The following is a 22,855-nucleotide window of genomic DNA, read 5'->3' on the forward strand; positions in this document are numbered from 1 at the left end:
GAATTGGGTAAGTGCCCTCATAGGAAGAAACAAGGCTGGGCATGGTGGTTTACACCTGTAAATCCCTGTGCTTTGGGAAGCTGAGTGGGGAGGATCACATGAACCTAGGAGTTTGAGGTTGTAGTGAGCTATGATCATGCCACTGCACTCCAGCCTGGGTGACAGAGATCCTGTCTCTTGGAAAAGACAAAAGCAAGATGACCTTTTTCTGCCCTACACAAAGAAACTGAAAAGGAAACAGCCATCTGCAAACCAGAGAAAAGGCCCTCAACAGAAACCATAAAGGCTGGCATGTTGACGTTAGACATTGTAGCTCTCAGAACTGTGAGAAACACATTCTGTTAATCTCCTCAGTCAACAGTATTTTTGTTGTAGTAGCCTGAATTAAGTGCTGAAAATTTGAATATGGGGTGTAATTATCATGTAATCATTTAGTCTTCTCTTTTCCCAAATATGCCTTCTGAAATGTTTGTCAAACTAAATGACTGTAGCTTACTAGGGTATATATAAAACAACAACAAAACACCTTTAAGAAATAAACTATTTCCATGAGCAATTGTTAGTGATCCCTTAGAATCAGATTAAGATTTCAGTTTTTCTTTCTTACTTAAGGCACTACTTCTCAAAACCAAAGCTACCTAATTTAGAATTGGCTTTTTTCTCTTTATTGAAAGACATCCCCTTGCCATCTTTCTTATTATTGGTTTTCAAGCATTGAAAATGCAAAGTTGGCTTTTGTTTTTCAGAAGTGTGAATCCATTTAAAAGCAGAAGTATAATATGCAACCTCCTACACCACAGATATTAGGTTTGTACTTTGTTACGTTACAAAGGTATTCTGTCAAAGCCACAGTAGCACATTTTCTTTTACACTTATCCAAAATTCAAGTGATATTTTTGCAATCAAGGTGTGCAACACATTAAGACTTATTAAAGCACTGATAATGCTCCCATCTTAAATTCCAGTCACCTGAGTTAATCAAATGCTGTGACTTAAGCAAGCATTTATCAATAGTATATGTATTTCCAAAGACATTAAGGAACATTCGGAATTTAGTGTCAAGGACAGCAAACATTAAAAGTGTAAGATATCTGCATAGATTCATTTACGTAAGTAAAATATACTGAGAATGGAATACTGAATTTCTGCTTATAGTGATTAAAAGCAGTGACTTGGTTGTTCTTTGCTATTTTAATCATTTTGAAATAATCCTGATTTTAAAATCTGTTATTAAAACAATGTTTTGGTACACTTTAAATGTTCTGTAATGCCAGATCTGTGGGAATAAGTGTTGTGAAAAACATCAACATGAAAATAGATTTAATAAACTAGAGGATCTGAAGAGATTTTATAACTTTGAGTTTTCCTGTTTAGTCTAACACTGTACTGTTTTAAAAATAAGTAATATAGGGTACAAAATTTTTACAAAATGTGTATTTAGGTTATTTGAGTCAAAACACGGATGGACTATTATTTTTGTGAAGAACAAGACAGGATTAGTTAATAAGCTATTTACCTTTTCCAAAGGAGAAAAATGACTATACGTAGTCATTTACAAAAAAATTAATTTTCATGTATCAATAAAAATGACTTGACTTTTCAGTAATGGGAAATAGGAGGGGAAATTTCTTCTTTATAAACAGTGAAGTCAGTGTTTGTAAATATGTTGATTATGTTGAAATGTATGTTGAAAAGGCATGAAATGTGGAATTTTGTTGGGAATGGATGGTATAAACTGATTATACAATAATTGAGATATTAACTACTTGGGGATTTAAGGTGTGAACTAACCCAAGTGTAATGTCCAAGAGTTAAATCATTTCTTAAAACAATGATGTAGTCTGCATATACACATACCACATATTTTCAAAATTAAAAAATAAAAGACCTTCATGGTCTCAAAAAGTTATGGGTTTTTTTATTGTTCAAATAAAAGTGCACTGCATTACATCTGAAATATAAAAAATGTATTTTAAAAATGTTCCTAGTACAGACTTCTAAAACCATGGTATTGTACTAAACAAGCCTGATCCCCAAGACTAAATACGGAGCATTTCAATCTATATCCCCTGGCCCCACAGGTTTGAAGTCAAGAAAATATAGGAGTTTTCCCCCTCCTTTTTAAATAAAATACCTCACCTAAGAAATTCAGTATTGTGAAACAACACAACTCATGTGTTGTAATAAATATTGGATAGCATCTGTTCTCCAGCAGGATTACCTTAAATAGAAAATAACCCTAGTTAACACAGGAAAGAATTAAGAAAAAAAATTTTATGTATAGAATAGTGGCAAGTCATATATAAAATACTTCGTTAAATAACATTATTACATCCCTTTTTTAGTAAAGTGCTATAATTTTATTTCATAGCTATATTTATTTGTAGGCTGTCTTTTAGCTCTCCCTTTAAATTTGGGCATATTAAACATAGGTGGAAAAACAAATTTATATATTTTAAGACCACTTCTTAAACTAAAAGATATGAGTGTACTGTTTACAAATTTCTGGATATGTTTGAGAAGTCATCTTTTTACTCTTTACTCAGGCTTTACTCTTTACTCAGATGGAAGAAATCATTTGATTTACTTGACAACCAAGGAACCATGTTAATATCATCAACTCTAGGTGATTTATATGAATTTTAGTTAGTTTTTATGTTTTACCAGTGTGAAATTTTATGTCTAATTAAAAAAAAAGAAGACAAATTGATATATACATTACTCGATTTTTATGCTTACTTTCTTTTACATTTCAACCATATAATTAATTTTTCCATGAGACAGGGTAGGACACATAATCTTCTTGGATACATTACTGTTTATTGTTTCAAGTGGATGGAATATATAAATCCCACTGAGTAGTTTAGTGTGGCCTTGTATCTTTTATAAACAGGTTAAATGGAGACTTTACACTGTAATCTGTGTATTTATCTGTCTACCATAAATTGTCTTCGTGACAAATGCAGAATTTCTTTTATTACTTGGCTCAAATTAACTGTTGATCCTTTTCACTGATAATATACAAGGGTAAAAAAGCAGGAAGCCTTTAAAATTGAAAAAAGAAATAAGATATTTTCCACTAAATTACTGAAAATTGAAATTTTTATGTTGACTGTTGATGACTGAAAAGCCAATGTTAAGAATCAATATCATCCAATATAAAATAGTACATTGAATTATTTAATAAACAGAATATTAAGAGCTTGTATATGCTGACTGGGAACAGTGGTGGCTTTTTAAATTCTCAGAAAGTTTAAACATTTTATAATTAGAAGAAACCACTGGTGATGATGAAGATGGTCCATCTCTGTAGCAGCCATTACAGTGAAAATCTTGACAGAACCTTTTCACTATCAGAAAGATAATTTTACTGGTATTAGTGGTAAAGGTAAGGAGAGAAAAAGGAGTGAGGAGATAAGTCTGTATTAGTTTTAAAAGTGAGAAAAGGTAATAAAACAACATGGAAAAGCCAGAAATTTCTTCTTCTATATGTGCCTTGCTACAAATAAACCAAAAAGAAAGCAAGATGGGTATTTTAAAAGCCAATGTGGGGAAACATCCAATGATAATGCCCATTATTTTACTTTATACTTAAATTACACCAGTAGAAAAGTTATGCTTATTAATAGTTTAATGTATGAAGGAAACATCCAGATTTCTGAATATGAAGGTACATATCTCACATTAATTTAAGTCTACATAAAGTAGAGCCTCTATACTGACATATTGAAATTTACTTTCTGCTTAGCCTTTTCTGTTATGTAAACAATTGTACATTTATTTGCCATTCTAAAACTTCAGGATCAAGTTTACATAATTTTGCTAAATTTCCGTGTTTGCTCAGAAGCAGTTTACAGTACTAAAACCAACCAGCCAAAGAACAGCTTCAACAGAAAGTTATGTCCAAAGGGGAAGAGGGAAAGAAAAAAAGAAAAATGATAAGAAAAATGCTAACTAAGGTAAAACGGATGATGATGGGGAATGGGCAGTCACAAATGTTCACAGAAAATAGGTCAGTTAGTAAGATCTTCTGCAAAAAGCCTACACACTTCAGTCAAGCACATCAGTAGAATGATTTGGGAGCATAATTTTTTTTTTCGGCCACTTGTGATTTCCTCCAAATGAAAAGGAATCTGCAGGCTAACAAGCTGATCCTCATCAGCCAAGCTGGTTCATATGCACACTGTTCATGTGAGGTGCCCAGGGTCCAGTCCACACCTATGAATATAGAGCATGCATTTTACAAAATATATATCTAGCATATATTTTATTAAAATAAAACTTTTAAAAAACTAAGGAGGTACTCTTCAATTTGCAATATACTAGGAACTAATGGAAAAAAATGATAAAAACCTTTTTTCTATTATTTTCCTACCTCTTATCCCTCAAACAGAATCTGATTTACAACCTTTAAAAAAAAAATCATTACCTGAGCATTTATAGATTCACGGTTGTGGAAGAAAAATAAATCAAAGATATTAAACATACACTAAACTAAAATATACAACCATTTATGTGAATTCTCAGAGTTATTTATAGTACCTTTAATAAATAACCTTTAGATGGTCTTTTCACACCACTAGTAAACTTTAATGTATAAAATCATATGACAGTCACTTTGCAACTTAAAATCTTTCATTTATTATCTGCTACCCAGTAGAATATACAATACCTTTCATAATTTTAGCCCCAAACCTGCCTTTGGTACCACTGCCCACAGCCCTCTGCTATATTGCAGCTATATTAGATTTCCTCAACTGCCCATATTCACCAAACTCTCTTGCTATCATGAGTTACCTGAATCCTATTTGTCTTTGCATTTCTTAAACACAAAACAACTGTTTATTCACTGAATGATCAGCCTCACCGTTTGAGGGCCATTATTTTCCGTGGAGCTGGAAACCATCTTTATCAGTGAGTTCCAAGAAGGGTCTGCAGCATGAGGGCCATTAAATATGGGTCCTCCAGCACCATCAGGGATAGGTGCTACTGGAGGAATCATTGCATTCCCATACACAGAAAAAGGCATACCCTTAAAAAAGGAAAACACACACATTAACATCCAAGTCATTGTTCATTTTTCCCAATATAATCAATAGCCTTAAAATTGATATTTGAAAGTTCACCTCATCCTGGGAATGTGTAACTTATCTAAGAAATCTAAAAATTATTACCCATTATATAACTTATTTTAACATTAGATTATACATATGCCTACTATATTCAAAACATTTTCTCAGAAAATCCTCCCTTAAATAACTAGTACAAAATCAGGACTTTACCCCAACTTTAGGAAAGTCCATGTAGCCTGCAGGAACATGCTGATGGAATGTACCAGAAGGAGTTACAATTCCTGTACTATCTCGCTCCATTGCTTGATGTTGTGAAAATACTCCTGGGTCAGACATCGGTCTGTGGATCATAGGATTTCCCATCCCAGGGTTACACCAGTCTACTTTGTCTGAGGGCAAACAAAGAGGCAAAACAAAAATAGATAATATTTAAAATCAAAATCAAATATTTTGTTTTTCTAATATTTTCCACATTGAACCGTAAATTATTTCAATATAATGACCTACTTTTATATATTTACAGCAATATTTCCATGGTTTGTAAGTAGTGACATAATAGCTTAATGAAATAATCTAAAAACTTGGTGTTATAAAACAAAAGAAAAAAACCTAAGTACAACCTAAAGGGACTGAAAGGAAATATTATTATGTCCTTAATATGATGAAAGGAAGAAAAGAACATGCTTGCATTAGATATTTTCTGAAAGCAGTAATAAATACATGTAATGAGAAAGGTCACATGGGGACAGAGCTCATAAAGAAGTGATTAAATATTCACATAACAAAAAAAATAGGAATACAGATCTTTTAGAAATGACTACGAGGCTGGGCGTGGTGGCTCATGCCTGTAATGCCAGCACTTTGGGAGGCTGAGGTGGGTGAGTCACTTGAAGTCAGGAGTTTGATACCAGCCTGATCAACATGGTGAAACCCTGTCTCTACTAAAAATACAGGCGGGGCACAGTGGCTCACGCCTGTAATCCCAGCACTTTGGGAGACCGAGGCGGGCGGATCACAAGGTCAGGAGATCGTGACCATCCTGGCTAACACGGTGAAACCCCGTCTCTACTAAAAATACAAAAATTAGCCGGGCGTGGTGGCGGGCGCCTGTAGTCTCAGCTACTTGGGAGGATGAGGCAGGAGAATGGCATGAACCCGGGAGGCGGAGCTTGCAGTGAGCAGAGATTGTGCCGCTGCAGTCCGGCCTGGGTTACAGAGCGAGACTCCGTCTCAAAAAAAAAAAATTAGCTGGGCATGGTGGCGCATGCCTGTAATCCCAGCTACTTGGGAGGCTGTGGCAGGAGAATCGCTTGAACCGGGGAGGTGGAGGTTGCAGTGAACCAAGATCACCCCATTGCACTCCAGCCTGAGCAACAAGTGAAACTCCATCTCAAAAAAAGAAAAAAAAAAAGGAAATGACTATTAAAGTTAAATACTGTTTACATTATAGTTAAATGCATTAAGTTAATTTCTAGAGAGCAGGACAGAATATCCTACCTTGATTGCCACCAATCCCTTCAAAGGACCAGATGCCACTATGTCCTACTGATGTAGACAAATTGCTCCCAATAACAGATGGAGCTGACGTTCCAGTTTGCCTGATACGTGCAGAACGTTCAGTCCCAATAGGGACTGGAACTTTCCTGTCCTGAGACACATTGCTGGGCTTTTCTGACCCTAACGGTACTGATGATGGGGCAGGAGATGGTGCACGAACTCCCGAGGATACTGACTGTGCAGAAGAATCTAGAGAAGAGATATTTTGAAATAAAATACAGGTCATCTATAGAACATGTAATTTTATAAAACCAAATCTTAAAACCAGGAGATGTTTTAAATATATATTCTCAGAAAAACAAAGTGTAAAAATAATACTTAAAAATGATGCATATTAAAATTTGGCTAAAGTTCCATGACTTCAAGGTAGAATATGATGTCAATGCTGCAAAATGTTCAACTACAAAGGTAATAAACCATTAAATTAAATAATATTCAAATGAATTAACCCTTGACATTAAGTAAAATGTAGCAAGCAATAAGACATTTAAATTAAAAAACAAACCAACAACAACAGAATGGAGATGGGTAAGAATCACTGCCTGTAGTGGCAATCTCCAAACTGTATTCCCTGGGAATACTTGCTCTTTGTGTTATGATGAAAAAGAGATTCAGCTATCTAATAAATTTGGAAAACCTAGCCTAGGAAAAAGAAATACGTTTCTTTGTTATTTATTCATTTTTTATTTATTTTATTTATGTATTTTTGGAGACAGAGTCTTGCTCCATTGTCCAGGCTAGAGTGCAGAGGCTCGATCATAACTCACTGCAGCCTCAAACTCTTGGGCTCAAGCGATCCTCCCACCCCAACCTCCTGAACAGCTGGGACTACTGGGATGAGCCATCATGTCCAGTTTAAAAAAAAAAAGTTTCTTCAAATTAGAACTGAAGTTTATAGAACATTATATATACTGATAAAATACCAATAAGAGGATCATTGCCTAAGTCTGTTTTATTTTATCTTGTGAGTACTTCACAGAACATGCTTTTGGTAATGAGAATCTTTTTTACTTATGCAAACAAGGTGGATTTCTTGATTTGAGACTATTCATTAGTGATTCAATCTCTATACATTATTGAGAAAAAACAAAAATAACCAAAATTATATTTTATGTGAAAAGCTTAAATATTGGCCGGGCGCGGTGGCACACACCTGTAATCACAGCACTTTGGGAGGCCAAGGCGGGCGGATCATGGGATCAGGAGTTCGAGGGGCCAATATGGTGATACCCTGTCTCTACTAAAAATACAAAAATTAGCCGGGCGTGGTGGCACGCGCCTGTAGTCCCAGCTACTCAGGAGGCTGAGGCAGACGAATCACTTGAACCCGGGAGGCGGAGGATGCAGTGAGCCGAGATCGTGTCACTGCACTCCAGCCTGGGTGACAGAGCAAGATGACTCCATCCCCCCTCCCCCTCCCAAAAAAGCTTAAATATTAAAGCACATTTAAACTAAAATGGTATAAATAATAAAGGAGTCTGAAGCTTAAAAATCAAAACTGTTACCTGCAGATTCAACAGAACTGCAGTTGAATTCCAAATAAGCCTATTATATAAGATAAAAGAGAAAGACCTATAGCATTCCTGTTGACAATAAAAGCACTCCAGAAAAAAAGCTATAACCTAAAATTCAAAAATGAACGAAAAGAAAATGATATGAAGGAACAGCATAATTCAGAATTAGTAAAACGGAAACAATATGACAAAACTCAGGAAAGTGTTAGAAGTAAAAGAATATTTTAGCTAAAGACCAAATAAAACCAAATTCTGCAATTATACATGCAGTAGAAAACAGACAAAAACTACAAGGAATACACAGACATGTAAATGTAAACACAAAGATAAATAACAAAAGCTTGTTTTTTAAAAACCTACATATTGAAAGGCCACACCTAAACCTCTAGGAAAAATCAACCCAGAACAACTAACATCAAGACATAGTCAGGGCAGGCAGGCAGGAAGGAAAGAAGGATAAACAAATGAATCCTGCTTTCCCCTAGGTTCATCCCTGGGAGCCTACCTTAACCTCTGTGTTCACTCTGGTTTCCCTTTTATTTCCTGTATCCTTCTAGAACCAAAGTAGAGCAAAATAACAACAACCTTCCACATTGTTTTGTTTTTTATGAGACGGTCTCACTATGATGCCCACACTGAAGTACAGTGACTATTCACAGGCACAATCACAGTGCACTGCAGCCTCAAACTCCTGGCCTCAAGCCATCCTCCCACCTCAGCCTCCTACACATTCTATTTTAATAAACAGAATTACTAGGCTTGCCCGCTGAGCTGCGCCATTTAAGAAGTTTACTCTCTGCACAGATTCTGCCACCCCTCTAGTCATAGTTTTTATCAGATGACCCTGTTTTCTGCTCCCTCTCTGCACAACTATTGGATTAAGGATAGGCACCCATCCAAGTTTTATTTTAGGCTAGTCAGTAATCTGACTGAAATGGTCTGACTTGAACATATGAGCTGAGCCAATCACATTCCTCATCAAAGAATGGGGAATTAAAGGGTTAACTGGTTTAATTAATTATGAAGTTGAACCACTGATGTGCATATACAAGGTAAGATTATGAAGAAGTTTAGGTGTAAAGAGAGCAGAATGCAAGAAACTGACAAGAAACAGACCATGAGTGAGAGACCACAAATCCTCTAAGAGAGAGAGAGAGAGAGAATAGCTATCCCTAAGTCCTGGACGGTTTGGAAAATGGTTCTGCATAGCCTTATATAAACATCATTTTCCATGAGAGTCCCTGGATGGGCCTATATTCCTTTTCATGAAAAGAACCTAACTAAAATAATTTTCACATCTCTAATTATTATAATTACTTCAATTAGAAAAAAAGCAAAATTTAATTCAGAGCCATGTTATTTAAAAACATCAGCTTATATATTAGAGAAACAGGTTTCAGAGGATGGGGCAGATCTAGGTTTTGTGGGGCCTTAAACTTACAAAATTTTGGGAACCTTTTTTAGAAGAATGAAAAATTACAAATAAAAAAATCATGTACAGCACTTGGAAGTACCCCATAAAATGAAGTGGCCTAAGGATTTAAGTTTCACTGATACCACGGTAACTTCACCACAGTTTAGAAATGATAACAGAGTCCTGAGTTAAAATTGAAAGAGCAATGTGATTTACAAATTCAAAAAGTGGGGCCACTGGGTGTGGTGGCTCACACCTGCAATCCCAACACTTTGGGAGGCCCAGGTGGGCAGATCACTTGAGGCCAGGAGTTTGAGATCAGGCTGGGCAACGTGGTAAAACCTCATCTCTACAAAAAAAAATTTAACAAATTAGCCAAGCATGGTGGTGCACACCTGTAGTCCCAGCTACTTGAGAAGCTGAGGCAGGAAGATTGCTTGAGCCCAGAAGGTGGAGGTTACAGTGAGCCAAGATTGTGCCACTACATTCCAGCCTGGGCAACAGAGAGATACATTATCTTTTTATTTAAAAAAAAAAAAAAAAAAAGGGGGGCCAAGCGTGGTGGCTCACATCTGTAATCTCAGCATCTCTGCATTTTGGGAGGCTAAAGTGGGAGGATCTCTGGAGATCAGGAGTTCAAGTCCAGTCTGGGCAACATGGTAAGACCTCATCTTACAAAAAATAAATACATAAAAATAAAATAAAAACATTAGCTGGGTGCTATGGCAAGTGCCTGTAGTCCCAGCTACTTGGGAGGCTGAGGCAAGAGGACTGCTTGAGCCTAGGAGTTTGATTGAGGCTGCAGTAAGCTATGGTCACACACTGCTGCATTCCAGCCTGGGTGACAGAGACAGAACTCGTGAGAAGAAAAGGAGAGGAGAGAGGAGAGAACAAAAAGTGCTTCTACAGTAAAATTACATGAAAAGAAAGGAGAAGAACAAAAAGTGCTCCTACAGTAAAATTACACTGCACATTTCTCACAGTTTAGTTCAGTGTTTATTAAACATACCCTGAATTTAATCAGGAAGAAATAGTAGGAAATAAAAATAAAAGGCATTCTAGCAAACAACTGGCTTGTAGTCTTCATAAAATGAATCTTTCTTTGAAAGTTAAAGAAAGACTCAGAGAACAGTTCTAGATTATTTGAGACTAAAGAGATATGGGAATTAAGTGTAACTTGCAGTCCTAATTAGAATCTTGGATGAGAGAAAATAATAAAGTTATTGAGATAACTGATGAAATGTAAATATGCACCATATATTAGATAATAATATAAAATGTAAAGTTTGCTGAATTTAAACACTGCATCATAGTTGTTGAAGGGAACATTCTTATATTTAGGAAACTAAGTTATTTAGGGGCAAAAGGGCTTGACGTCTACAACTAACTGTAAAATAGTTCAGGAATAAAATAATTTTACACACACACAGAGGAATATATGATGAGGAAAGGAAGTAATGCAGTTTAATTGGTGAATCTGGGAAAAATATACAAGGGATCCTTGTGGTATTCTTGAAAGTTTAAAATTATTAATTACAAAATCTGAGAGACATAATCAAATGCAATATGTGAGCCTTGAGTGGTAGTTCCTGGTTCAAGAAAGAAACATCTATAAAAAACGTTTTGGAATAATTGAAGATATCTGAATATGGACTGATTAATTCTTACTGAATTCATGTTAACCTATTAGGTATTTGACAATGGTATCATGGTTGCATAAGAAAATATCCTTATTCTTAAGTGATGCATGTTTTTAGGTCTGAAGTGTCATATCTGCACCTTATTTACAAATGGTTCAGCAAAACAGTAGAGAGAGAAAATAAATATAACAAAATAATTGGGAAATTTAGGCGAAGGAAATATGGATATTCCTTGAACTATTCTTTAACTTTTCTATGGGTCTGAAATTTTTTGTAACAAAATAGTTACTGGAATGTGGCAACAATAAAAGCAATTGTAATGCCCTCAATGATACTCTGTATTTACAATATAGCACTATATTCAAAAGCATGTATTAAAAAACCTAACCTGGGTGGTGTGGTGGTACACGCCTGTAATTCCAGCACTTTGGGAGCTGTGCAAGGATAATTAATATTCTATATGACTGCCACTATTTGACAAACACAAGAAAAACTATGAATATATAAATTCATTGCAGGCTACAATTTACCTCATGCTTTAACTGGCAATGTACTCTGACATGTATCTCTAAAATAATTATAACTCTTTACTCTTTCATTAAGTTAATTAGGTTAACTGTTATTTATTCCAGTATTGCTAGTTAGAAGAAATTTGATAGTTAAAAAAAAAAACAAAACAAAAAAAAAAAAACCGAAGTCTTACTATAACTTCCTTAAGGGATAAGCAATTTCACATCTTTACCTGGAAAACAAACATATCCAACCTTACTACAGAATTCTCTTAGTTGAGTTGAATTCTCTATTGCTGACTGATCTTCATTAGTTTGAAAATCTAGGCCTGGTGGCTCACACCTGTAATCCCAGCAGTTTGGGAAGCCGAGGTGGGCAGATCATGAGATCAGGAGTTTGAGACCAGCCTGGCCAATGTAGTGAAACTGTCTCTACTAAAAATACAAAAATTAGCCAGGTGTGGTAGCACATGCCTGTAGTCCCATTTATTCAGGAGGCTGAGGTGGGAGAATCGCTTGAGCCATTGCACTACAGCCTGGGTGACAGAGTGAGACTCCATTTCAAATAAAAAAAAGAAAGAAAGAAAATCTAATCACTGCTTCAAAAGTCTGCCTGTAGTTAAAAAACACATGTGATAATGTGAAATCTGTTGTGTTGTTAATGCAGATGAGATTTTTTTTTTTTTTTGAGATGAAGTCTTGCTCTGTTGCCCAGGCTGGAGTGCAGTGGTGTGATCTCGGCTCACTGCAACCTCCGCCTCCTGGGTTCAAGCAATTCTCCTGCCTCAGCCTCCCAAGTAGCTGGGATCACAGGTGCACACCACAACGCCTGGCTAATTTTTGTATTTTTAGTAGAGGCAGGGTTTTGCCATGTTGGCCGAGCTGGTCTTGAACTCCTGACCTCAGGTGATCCACCCGCCTTGGCCTACCAAAGTGCTAGGATTACAGGTGTATGCCACTGTGCCCAGCCTAGATGAGATTTAAAGGTGGACTAAAAGGATGTAATTTTCACTCAAGGGTAGAAATCTTTCTCCTTGGTACCTGTATTCTCAAAACTAAAAGTAAACATAAATTAATAACAGGTACAAGGATTAATTTTTTTCCCCCAAAAAATGATCCCTCAGGACAGGTGTGGTGGCTCACACCTGTAATCCCAGCTCTTTGGAAGGCAGGAAGACTGCTTCAGCCCAGGAGTTTGACGAAACCAGCGAGGGCAACACAGTGAGAGCCTGTCTCTAATAAAAATAAAAAATAATAAAAATCCCTCTTAGAAAAACTTCAATATTTTAGGTTTGATAGAACCTAGGTTGATTCTAATCATTTAAATACCTAGAAATTTTTTTGAAATTCCAGACTTCTAAGAGTACAAATTACCTTTTTATGGTATTAAAATTATGATGAGGTTTGAAACCTGCTGTTTTTAAGAAAACATATGCAGATTCTTATGGAATTACGGTGTATAAAACTCACCATTTGATGCTGATGAACACGGAGTCAACAAACTAAGCGGGGAAAAATGTTGTCTGTTAAAGTTAGCAGCTGCGGGTGCTCCTCCAAGGGGTGCCCCAGGTCCGTACATCTGACCTCCTGAAATGTTTGAAGCAAAGTTTCCCAAATGTGTTGAAGAAGGTGTTACAGAACCATATGGCGAGTCCATATTGACAATACCTATAATGTAGAAGGTCATCATAATTTATAATAGTTACTCCTGCAAGAAATAGAGATACCTTAAAATTCTAAAAGGCCCTAAATATATTCAAAACTATTTTAGATAATTAAAAAAATCCCGGCTGGGAGTGGTGGCCCACATCTGTAATCCCAGCACTTTGGGAGGCCAAGGTGGGAGGACTGCTTATGGCCAGGCATTCAAGACTGGTCTGGGCAACACATCGAGACCCCACCTCAAAAAAAAAAAAAAAAAGTTCCTGGCTGGGTGTGGTGGTTCATGCCTATAATCCCAGGCATGAATCTCACTTTGGGGGGCCAAAGTGAGAGGACTGCTTGAACCCAGAGTTCAAGGCCAGGATAGACTGCCTCTACAAAAAATTAAAAAAAAAAAAAAATTAGCCAAGTTTGGTGGTGCGTGTTTGTAGTTCCAGTTACTTGGGAGGCTGAGGTGGGAGGATTGCTTGAGCCCAGGAGGTTAAGGCTGCAATGAGCTGTGATGGCACCACTGCATGCCAGCCTGAGTGACAGAGTGAGACCCTGTCTCACACACACAAAAAACTAAACTATGTAGATAATTATAAAAGAAACAATTATCACATTATACTCTTAAATTCAAATTATAATTTACTGGGAACAAATTTAATTCTTGATTTTAGTACTTTCAGCACTAGTGGGCATTAATGTTTTAGTTAAAAAGGATCATTAGTTTTCCTTTACATGGGCTTTCTGTCAAAGTGGACTTTTGTTGCCTTTATTGATCATAAAATTAATGCAAACTTATTTAAAAAATCCAAAACCAAAAACCATATATAAAACAGAAAGTGAAACTTCCAGATGTTCCTATTTCAAAAACGAATGTATGTGTATTTGTGAGAGAGAAAAAGAAGAGGAAGAATAAACGTTTACCTTTAGGGATTTTTAGATAACATTTTTTTTTAAATGTTTATTTTTAGGGATAAAGATAAAACATTTACTCTTCCTCTTCTTTTTCTCTCTTACAGGTACACATTTGTTTTTGAAATATGTTCATTAAAAAAGTATTACAAATGTTTACACACTAAACTATTACACAAGTAACCTATCTGATTTTAGTCTAACGGGTTAAAAATACAGAAAAAAAAGAAAGAAAATAATTGTCAACGATTTTTTTTTTTAATTTAGGAGACAGCTTTCTCTGTTGCTCAGGGTGGAATGCAGTGGCATGTGATCATAGCTCACGGTAGCCACAAACTCTTGGGCTCAAGCAACCCTCTTGCCTCAGCCTCCTGAGTATCTGGGGCTACAGGTGTTCACCATTACACCTAGCTATATTTTTGTTTTACCTTTTATTAGCTTTTATAGAACACATGTCAATATTGGATTTTATGCTTGAACCTGGGAGGCGGAGGTTGCAGTGAGCCTAGATTGTGCCACTGCACTCCAGCCTGGGCGTCCGAGTGAGACTCCATCTCAAAAAAAAAAAAAAAAAAAAAAATATATATATATATATATATATATATATATATATCTGTAGGATTTTAAATAGGTTTAAGGACCAAAGAGTTGTATAAAACTACAGGGCAAAAAAGGGCTGTAGATACAATTCTACAATGAAGAGATCTGATAATTACATACTAACCACACGGCCATGCTTTCCACAGCCAATACTGGAACAATTTATCATTTTTTCTTTTTTTTTAAGGAGACAGGAGATTGCTCTGTTGCTCATAGCTCACCCCAGCCTCCATCTACTGGGCTCAAGTGATCCTCCTGCCTCAGCCTCCCAAGTAGGTGGGATTACAGGTACATGCCACCACACCCAGCTTTTTTATTTATTTTTGTAGAGGCAAGGTCTCACAATGTTGCCCAGGCAGGTCTTAAATTTCTGGCCTCAAATGAGCCTCTTGTCTCAGTCTCCCAAAGTGTTGGGATTACAAGTGTGAGCCACCACATCCAGCCAATCTGTCATTGATAAAATGCAGTGTGAGGTTCAAAACATCACCTATATGATGCTCCTTCCTGAAATATTTGATCTGAATCTAATCATGGATTGACATAATCACTGAATTAAACTTGCCCACAGAGTCAATGTCAAGAATTACAGAGGAAGGCAGTAGAATACTTTAGACAGAGGGAGACCAAAGACACATAACAACCAAAAGTAATGTGTGAATCTTGATTGAGTCTTGGATCAAATGGCAAGGAAAAGAGACACACATAGTCAGAAAGAATATATTTGGGAAAATGGCATTTTATGTTGGGTGTTATTATCAAATTCATCCTCATTTTATTGGGTGCAGTAATAGTGGCATAGCTGTGAAGGCAAACATTGTGAAGATCCATATCAAAGTATTTAGGGGTAAAGTATCATGTTTGAAAGTTATCTTCTCATGATTTGACAAAAGATGGGGAAGAAAAGAAAATAGAGATAGGATAGAAAGGGGGAAAAGGAGGAAAGAAGGATGAAGAAGGGGAGAGACAGGTAAGACAAGACAAGAGAGGGGGAAGAAAAGGAAGCAGCAAAAGAGAGGAAAAAAAAGGAGGGAAGAAGGAAAAGGGGAGAGAGGAAGGGAGGGGAGTGAGGGAGAGAGTTTGAAAAGATGTTAACAAGCAGAGAATATATTAATAAATGTGGAAATACCAAGTATTTACTATGCTGCTTATTCTGTCCTTAGATCTTTATGTGACTTAAATAACTTTTCAAAATACAAACTATAAAAACAGATCTGAGTCTAAAATACAAATAATCAAATTATTTACATAAGAAAAGTTAAACAAAGGAAGAAAAATATGGAACACAAAATGAATTAGGAAGAAGTAGAGAGAAGTGAAAATTAGGATCTGAGAGAGGTTTAGGAGAAAATAAAAGGACATACTTCCTATGTAATAAAAGGAGTATCTTTAACTCAAAATGACCTGAATTAGGTAATTGACTTGTAAGTTAAACTTCAATGCTAATTTTGGCTCTCATCAACTATACACTCCCTAAAAACCTCACCTTTCTTACAGAGGTCTTTCTTCTATACCTTTTCAAAAAATAGGAATTTATTTTTTTGTTCTCTAAAGCTTAATTTTAGCCTTTCTGAATCCCACACCTAGATTATCACATTTTTGGAAAGGTAAAGTATTAAATTCCAACTACTATAAAAATCAAACTTAAAGCATTTCCTACGCACTGGCACATAATGATCTAAAATCTAATTATATTGATTCTATTGTTTTAATATAAAATAAATTATTTTTCATAGTACACATAAATATTTCAGTTGACTTTTAGCAAAGAATATTTACTGACCACCTTCATTAAATTTTATTTACATGTTACAGAAATAGGTAAAAATAACATTGAGTTCCCATTAAACTTGGAAATTTTTGTCCCGGAATGTCATATTTCCAATAACACAGATAACGAGTTGGCAACCAAGAGCCAAATACCAAATATTTTAGGCTTTGCAGGTCACATGGTCTCTGTCCCAGCTACTCAATTCTGTCATTGTAGCATAAAAGTAGCCTTATACAATATGCAAATGAATGGGCATTGCTGTGTTTCAGTAAAGCTTTCTCTACAAACACTGAAATTAAAATTTCATATTTTGTGTTGCATGTTTATTCTTTTTAAATTTTTTTTTTTTTTTTTGAGACAGGGTCTCCACCCAGGCTGGAATGCAGAGGTGTGATCTCAGCTCACTGTAACATCTGCCTCTAGGGCTCAAGTCATCCTTCCACCTCAGCCCCCCAAGTAGCTGGGACTACAGGTATGCACCACCATGCCCAGCTAATTTTTATATTTTTGTAGAGATGGGGTCTCCCCTTAAGCCCAGGCTGGTCTGGAACTCCTGGGCTTAAGCAATCGACCCACCTCAGCCTCCCAAAGTGCTGGGATTACGGGCACAAGCCACCGTGCCAAGCCTATTCTTAAAAAAAAAAATTTTTTTTTAAACATTTAAGAAATGTAAAAACAGGCAGCAGGCCAAATTTGGCCCATAGACCATAGTGTGTCCATCTCTTACGTGGACTATCTTTAATTACTTGAAATGCTTATATTAAAACCCAACAGCTTTAAATGGAAACTGGCATCCTGGATTAGATCCTACAATAGAAAAAGGATATTACTTGAAAAACTTGTGAAATCTGCCTAAAATCTGTAGTCTAGTTAGTAGTACTACACCAATATTAATTTTTTTAGTTTCGAAATGTATCATGGTTATGTAAGATGGTCACATGAAGGGAAGCTGAGGAATTATAGAATTCTTCTATAAATCTAAAAATATTTTAAAGTAAAAAGTTTTTTTTAAAAAAGCAATAGCTTACAATCAGGAGATCTTTGTATCTTCTACATATATCAGTGTTGCCCAGTAGAATTTTGGATAATAGAAATGTTCTAGATCTTTGCTGTCCAATATGGTAGCTACCAGCCACAAGTGTTTTTTAAGCACTTAAATATGGGTAGCCTAAGAAGCTAATTTTTTTATTTTTAAAATTTTCATTAATTTAAATTTAAAAAGTACACATGGTTATTGGCTACCATATCAGACTGTGTAGCTCTATTTTTAAAATTATTTTAGAAATAAAAAAGATAATGCGAAATGAAACCCAATTTTTTAAATCTGTTATTTTGTATTTGTAATAAATGTAAACTTTTGGTGACAGTACCTTATTAAATTAAAACATGAAAGACTTCTGAGAGAGAAAAACACGCCTAGGCCAGGAACTGTGGCTCACGCCTGTAATCCTAGCACTTTGGGAGGCCAAGGTGGGTGAATCACCTGAGGTTGAGAGTTCGAGACCAGCTTGGTCAACATGGTGAAACCCCATCTCTACTAAAAATACAAAAATCAGCCAGGCATGGTGGTGCACGTCTGTAATCCCAGCTACTCGGGAGGCTGAGGCAGGAGAATCACTTGAATCTGGGAGGCAGAGGTTGCGGTGAGCTGAGATCATGCCACTGCACTCCAGCCTGGGTGACAGAGCGAGACTCTGTCTCAAAAAGCAAACAAACAAAAAAACCCCGCCTGATCAGAAGACTTATTTATGGAAAATTAAATAAAAATCTATGGTAGCTTTTAAAAAGATTTTTAAAAATAACACCATACTAAACACAAACAACAGCATCTGAGTTAACTAAATCCAACAATCTTTGTCTATATCGTCCAGAGAATAAAAATATTAGAAAATGACCAAGAATTTTCACATCACTTGTGCAAATGAACAGCTGCAGAATCTCAGAAAATATAAACTCACCTGAGGGACTTGGAGCAGGTCTCTGTAATGGTGGTCTAAAACCTGGAGCTTTGGAAGTATCAGACTGATGTAAAGGATCTGAATTTGGCAAATATGAGGATTTTCCTGATAGCATAGATTCTGGTGTTGACTGAGATGAAACAACAGATCCTCCCCAGAAGGCATGAGCAGAAGTAGGGCTGTTTTCAAACAATGTGCTAAAGGGCCCAAATGGTAAGGGGGCACTGAAATTGGGAGCAATAGGCTTATTTGCTGGATGTACTGAATTCTGACAAGCACTTTGTGTACTTAAGGTCGAAGGTAGCTGGACAGAAGAGGGAACACTGTGAGGTCTTTTAATGTGATTGACACTGAGGACTGCAACAGATGAATTTTGCACTGAAGCTGAATTCTTGTGAGGGGCAGTTGTGCCATGAGGGGGTGGTCTAATAGCAGGGGTTTCCATTTTAGGAGTAGGCTGGGGGCATCCCATTGGTGTCTGAGGCATAGGGTAAGTCACTGGGGCAGTAGAAGGCACCGCCACTGGAGCAGAACTTGTTGCTAAAGGAGGAACAGTCATTCTAACTTCCGGGGGAGGAACCTGAGACTGCTGAAGAGGTGGTCTTGGTTCCTGAGAAACAGATCCCGGAGGTTGTTGCTGATTAGAATGAGCTGATGAACTCCCAGAAGAACTGCTGCTGTTTGGAGGTCTAGTGTTTGTTGTTTCTACTACTGGTGGACTACCTGCTTCCTGTTCGGAGGAAGATGCCACTTTATTTGGAGATGCTGATCCACAATCCAAAGGGCTGTTTCTAGAAACCCCTCCTGGCTGGGCTGGTGGTGATGGGGAAGATGGGGATGATACTGGATAGTGTTCTTTGGCAGTAGGCATAGGATATGTGGCATTTGTGGGTGCAGTGTTGTTGTTGCTTGCCGTGGTTGTGACTGTTGTTGTGGTGGCATTGGATGTCTTCACAACTGTGACAAAAAGCTGCCTTCGGACAGAAGGTGAACTTGGACTGCCATTTGTAGATGTACCAGGCACCGTTGAAGCTGATGAACTGGTTGTAGTTGTTGGGCTTGAAGTTAAAGAACCTGCTGAATTCACCTGAGAACCACTGCTATTCTGATTGCTATGGCGAGGCACCATGTGAGGCTTAGGCGAGTTAGTAGCTCTGGCAGGGCTCAAAGGCCTGACAGGAAACGGACCCCAAGTGGATTGAGCTGGTGGAAAAGTACCTCCAAAGTGGGTCATGGGCAACCTTGGTGGACGGATCTGCTGGAAAGTCTGAGCAGCAAGCAAAGCATGTGCAAACTGTGGAGGAGGATATGCTAATGGAAGAGAAACTGGAAAACCAGGCCTCACATTATTCACTGGGTTCTTAATGGTTTTGTGAGTGGATGCAGAAGAAATTGCAGGCACAGTGAGTGCTGTGGCAGTTTGAGATGTTGATGACAGAGCTACAGTTGTCATTTTAATTCCCATTAAGGAAGTGTTAGCAGCAGTGGTGGTAGGTGCTGATGACCCTATTTTGGAATTTGCTGAGGAGCTTTTCAAACGATTCTTTGGAATAAGTTCATCAATTTCTTTGTCTGGATCCTTGATCAAAGCATTAATCAATTGAGTTGCTTGTCTTGTTGATTCAGTGCCACCCCTATAAATTGAGAAAAAAAAATTAGGTAGAATTTTCCCTACTTTTGAGTATGTAAAGTGTTTTTAATATGTATTTATGTACACAAACACACACACAGTTTTGTGTGTATATACATACACACATACAAACAAAGGACAGATAACAAAAGCTGGGCAGCAATTTTCTTACCATTCCTGAGGTATTCTACAAACAAAGCAATAAACTGTCCTGAATTACTACTTTTATTTTTCAGAAGAATAGTAAATGACTTATTTTTCAAAAATACATTTCACTATTGTTTCCTTAGACTAAGAAACCATTTTCCTACTGTAAAATACACTACAGTTAGAAAAACCACTGCACATAAAAGCCTATGTAATCCACAATGTTATTGAAACATTTAATCCTAAAAATATTGAAACAGTTAATCAACACTAAAAATAATAGAAGTAAACAAGGAAAATAATACAACTGAGTAAGAAAACAGTATTTTATTTTAAATCTTGGTATCTGGGATGACTCCGTCTACTAAAAATTCATTAGTAGTTTGTCTATTAATAGGATAATTATTGTAACTCCTCTGGGAAGATGTCTTAAAATGATGCAGGAATCCTGATAGTGCCAAAAATAGCCATATAAAACCTTAGTGCTGGATCTTCAGGAAAATATTTGATATTTATGGAAACTCAAGGGAGCAATTACCAATAAAGGGTATCTGGTTCCCTCTTTTCTAGATAAGATAGGCTGTGACTACCCAAATACCCAGGGGAAAACCAGTCAGAAGGAGAGGACGATGAATAAAATAGAGATGGCTACTTGCTTTCTTATTTTTGAGGTATGATGTAACTATTAGCTCTCCTATATAATGCAAAGGGGCATCTGCCTCATACAAACTTATATCTGCCATGTAAAAAATATAAAACTCTTTTTCAAAGGAACATGAATTTACTTTAAAGTAATTAAATATAGCTTCCTACATTCTTATGATTTCTTAGAACATCACTTTTATTTTAAGAATATTCAGGCATAGACATATTCGACGAGTTATTCAAGATAAGTTATATCTTCACTTCAGATTCAAATCTGAACTCAAATTCTTTTTTTTTTTTTTTTTTTTGAGGGAGTTTCACTCTTGTTGCCCAGGCTGGAGTCCAATGGCTCGATCTCGGCTCACCGCAACCTCTGCCTCCCAGGTTCAAGCAATTCTCCTGCCTCAGCCTCCCGAGTAGCTGAGATTACAAGCATGCACCACTATGCCCGGCTAATTTTGTATTTTTAGTAGAGACGGGGTTTCCCCATGTTGAGGCTGGTCTCGAACTCCTGACCTCAGGTGATCCGCCCGCCTCAGCCTCCCAAAGTGCTGGGATTACAGGCGTGAGCCACCGTGCCCAGCCCAAGAACTCAAATTCTAAAGACACAATCTCAGAATAACAAATCTCAAAGGTTATTTGAGAAAGACAAAAACCCACTGCTTAAAATGTTAGAAATGCGCTCCCTAAAAGTCTCAGAACAAATTTTTAAGAATGTCATATAAACAGTTTATGTACAGAAATTATTTATTTAAACCTTTGCTACACATGCATACAAATTCCTATAAAAGTCTCTGAAACACTTCACAAAAGTGTATTACCTAGGAAAAAAGAAAACTATAAAATTTATCTTCTCAAACACTAATAAAATTCCCATTTTAAAAAGTATACTATGTAACACAAAGTTCCACTGAAAACTCATATGGCTGTATTTCATTAAGCTATAGTGCAATAAAATAAAGGAAGAAAATGTAAGAGACAAAGTTTTGCCTTATAGTGATTATCCGGTCTCCAGTCTTGTCTTTCTGTTTATCAATATCTATGTGTGCACCAGTAAACTCCCGAATAGCATTGATATTACAGCCTCCTCTTCCAATCACTCTGGATATCACAGTTGATGGAACAGATACTTTCTTTGACCTGTTTAAAAGTTGTATATATAAATTAAGATTAGTCATTAACAATAGTTATTGTAATTTTTAAAAGAGGAAAGAGTATTACTAAAATGTCTTTCTATAAATACAGAATATTGTTGAATAAGCCTCTTCTATTTACTCTTACTCTAGATGAACAGAGAAAAGGCAATCAGGAGCAACAGACAGATAAGCTTTATTATAGCTTCTCATCTCACTATCAAAGATTGTTTGCTTTGTTGATTATCATTCTTCACTTGTATCGGTAAAGCACATACTATGTAGACACGTGCTGTGCTAATGCAAATACTAACGGTAAATAAGACAGACATGGGTTTCTGCCCACATATATTGACTATCTACACGCTAATTATGAAAACACCACCATGTCATGAGTGTTGCAATAGTATGTGTGTACACACACACAAATGTATTATATATACATATATGTATATATAGACATATATATGTATATACGTATAATATATACATGTATATATGTGTATATATATATATTATATGTGTGTGTGTATATATACTGGTTGGGCATCTAATCTAGCCTCAAGAGTCAAGAAAGACTTCTTGTGGGCCCCTTTTGGTGCTTTACTCATATGCTTCTTTTTATTCTCTAATATACATAACTCAAAGAGTGATGTTAAAAATTCATGACTGGGAGTGGTGGCTCATGCCTGTAATCCCAGCACTT

At 36.5% G+C, this 22,855-nt stretch overlaps 1 protein-coding gene across 12 annotated transcripts in view; it reads right to left on the bottom strand.

Moving 5' to 3' along the window:
* Positions 1-1,303: 1,303 nt before the first annotated feature.
* Positions 1,304-22,855, bottom strand: part of ANKRD17 (ankyrin repeat domain 17) — a 185,423-nt gene continuing 163,871 nt past the window's right edge. For 11 of the 12 annotated variants that reach the window (XM_005265671.5, NM_198889.3, NM_015574.2 and 8 more), the window contains 7 exons: positions 22,007-22,156; positions 18,595-20,228; positions 13,177-13,374; positions 6,570-6,818; positions 5,283-5,461; positions 4,868-5,032; positions 1,304-4,218 (listed from right to left, as the gene is read on the bottom strand). In XM_005265671.5, the coding sequence (XP_005265728.1) occupies positions 4,159-4,218; positions 4,868-5,032; positions 5,283-5,461; positions 6,570-6,818; positions 13,177-13,374; positions 18,595-20,228; positions 22,007-22,156 (2,635 nt within the window). In that variant the 3' untranslated portion in view covers positions 1,304-4,158. The remainder of the gene's footprint in view (positions 4,219-4,867; positions 5,033-5,282; positions 5,462-6,569; positions 6,819-13,176; positions 13,375-18,594; positions 20,229-22,006; positions 22,157-22,855) is intronic. The other variant, XM_047450038.1, reaches the window with a different exon arrangement.

The sequence above is a fragment of the Homo sapiens genome, chromosome 4 (genome assembly GCF_000001405.40).
Source record: "Homo sapiens chromosome 4, GRCh38.p14 Primary Assembly".
NCBI classification, from domain to species: domain Eukaryota; kingdom Metazoa; phylum Chordata; class Mammalia; order Primates; family Hominidae; genus Homo; species Homo sapiens.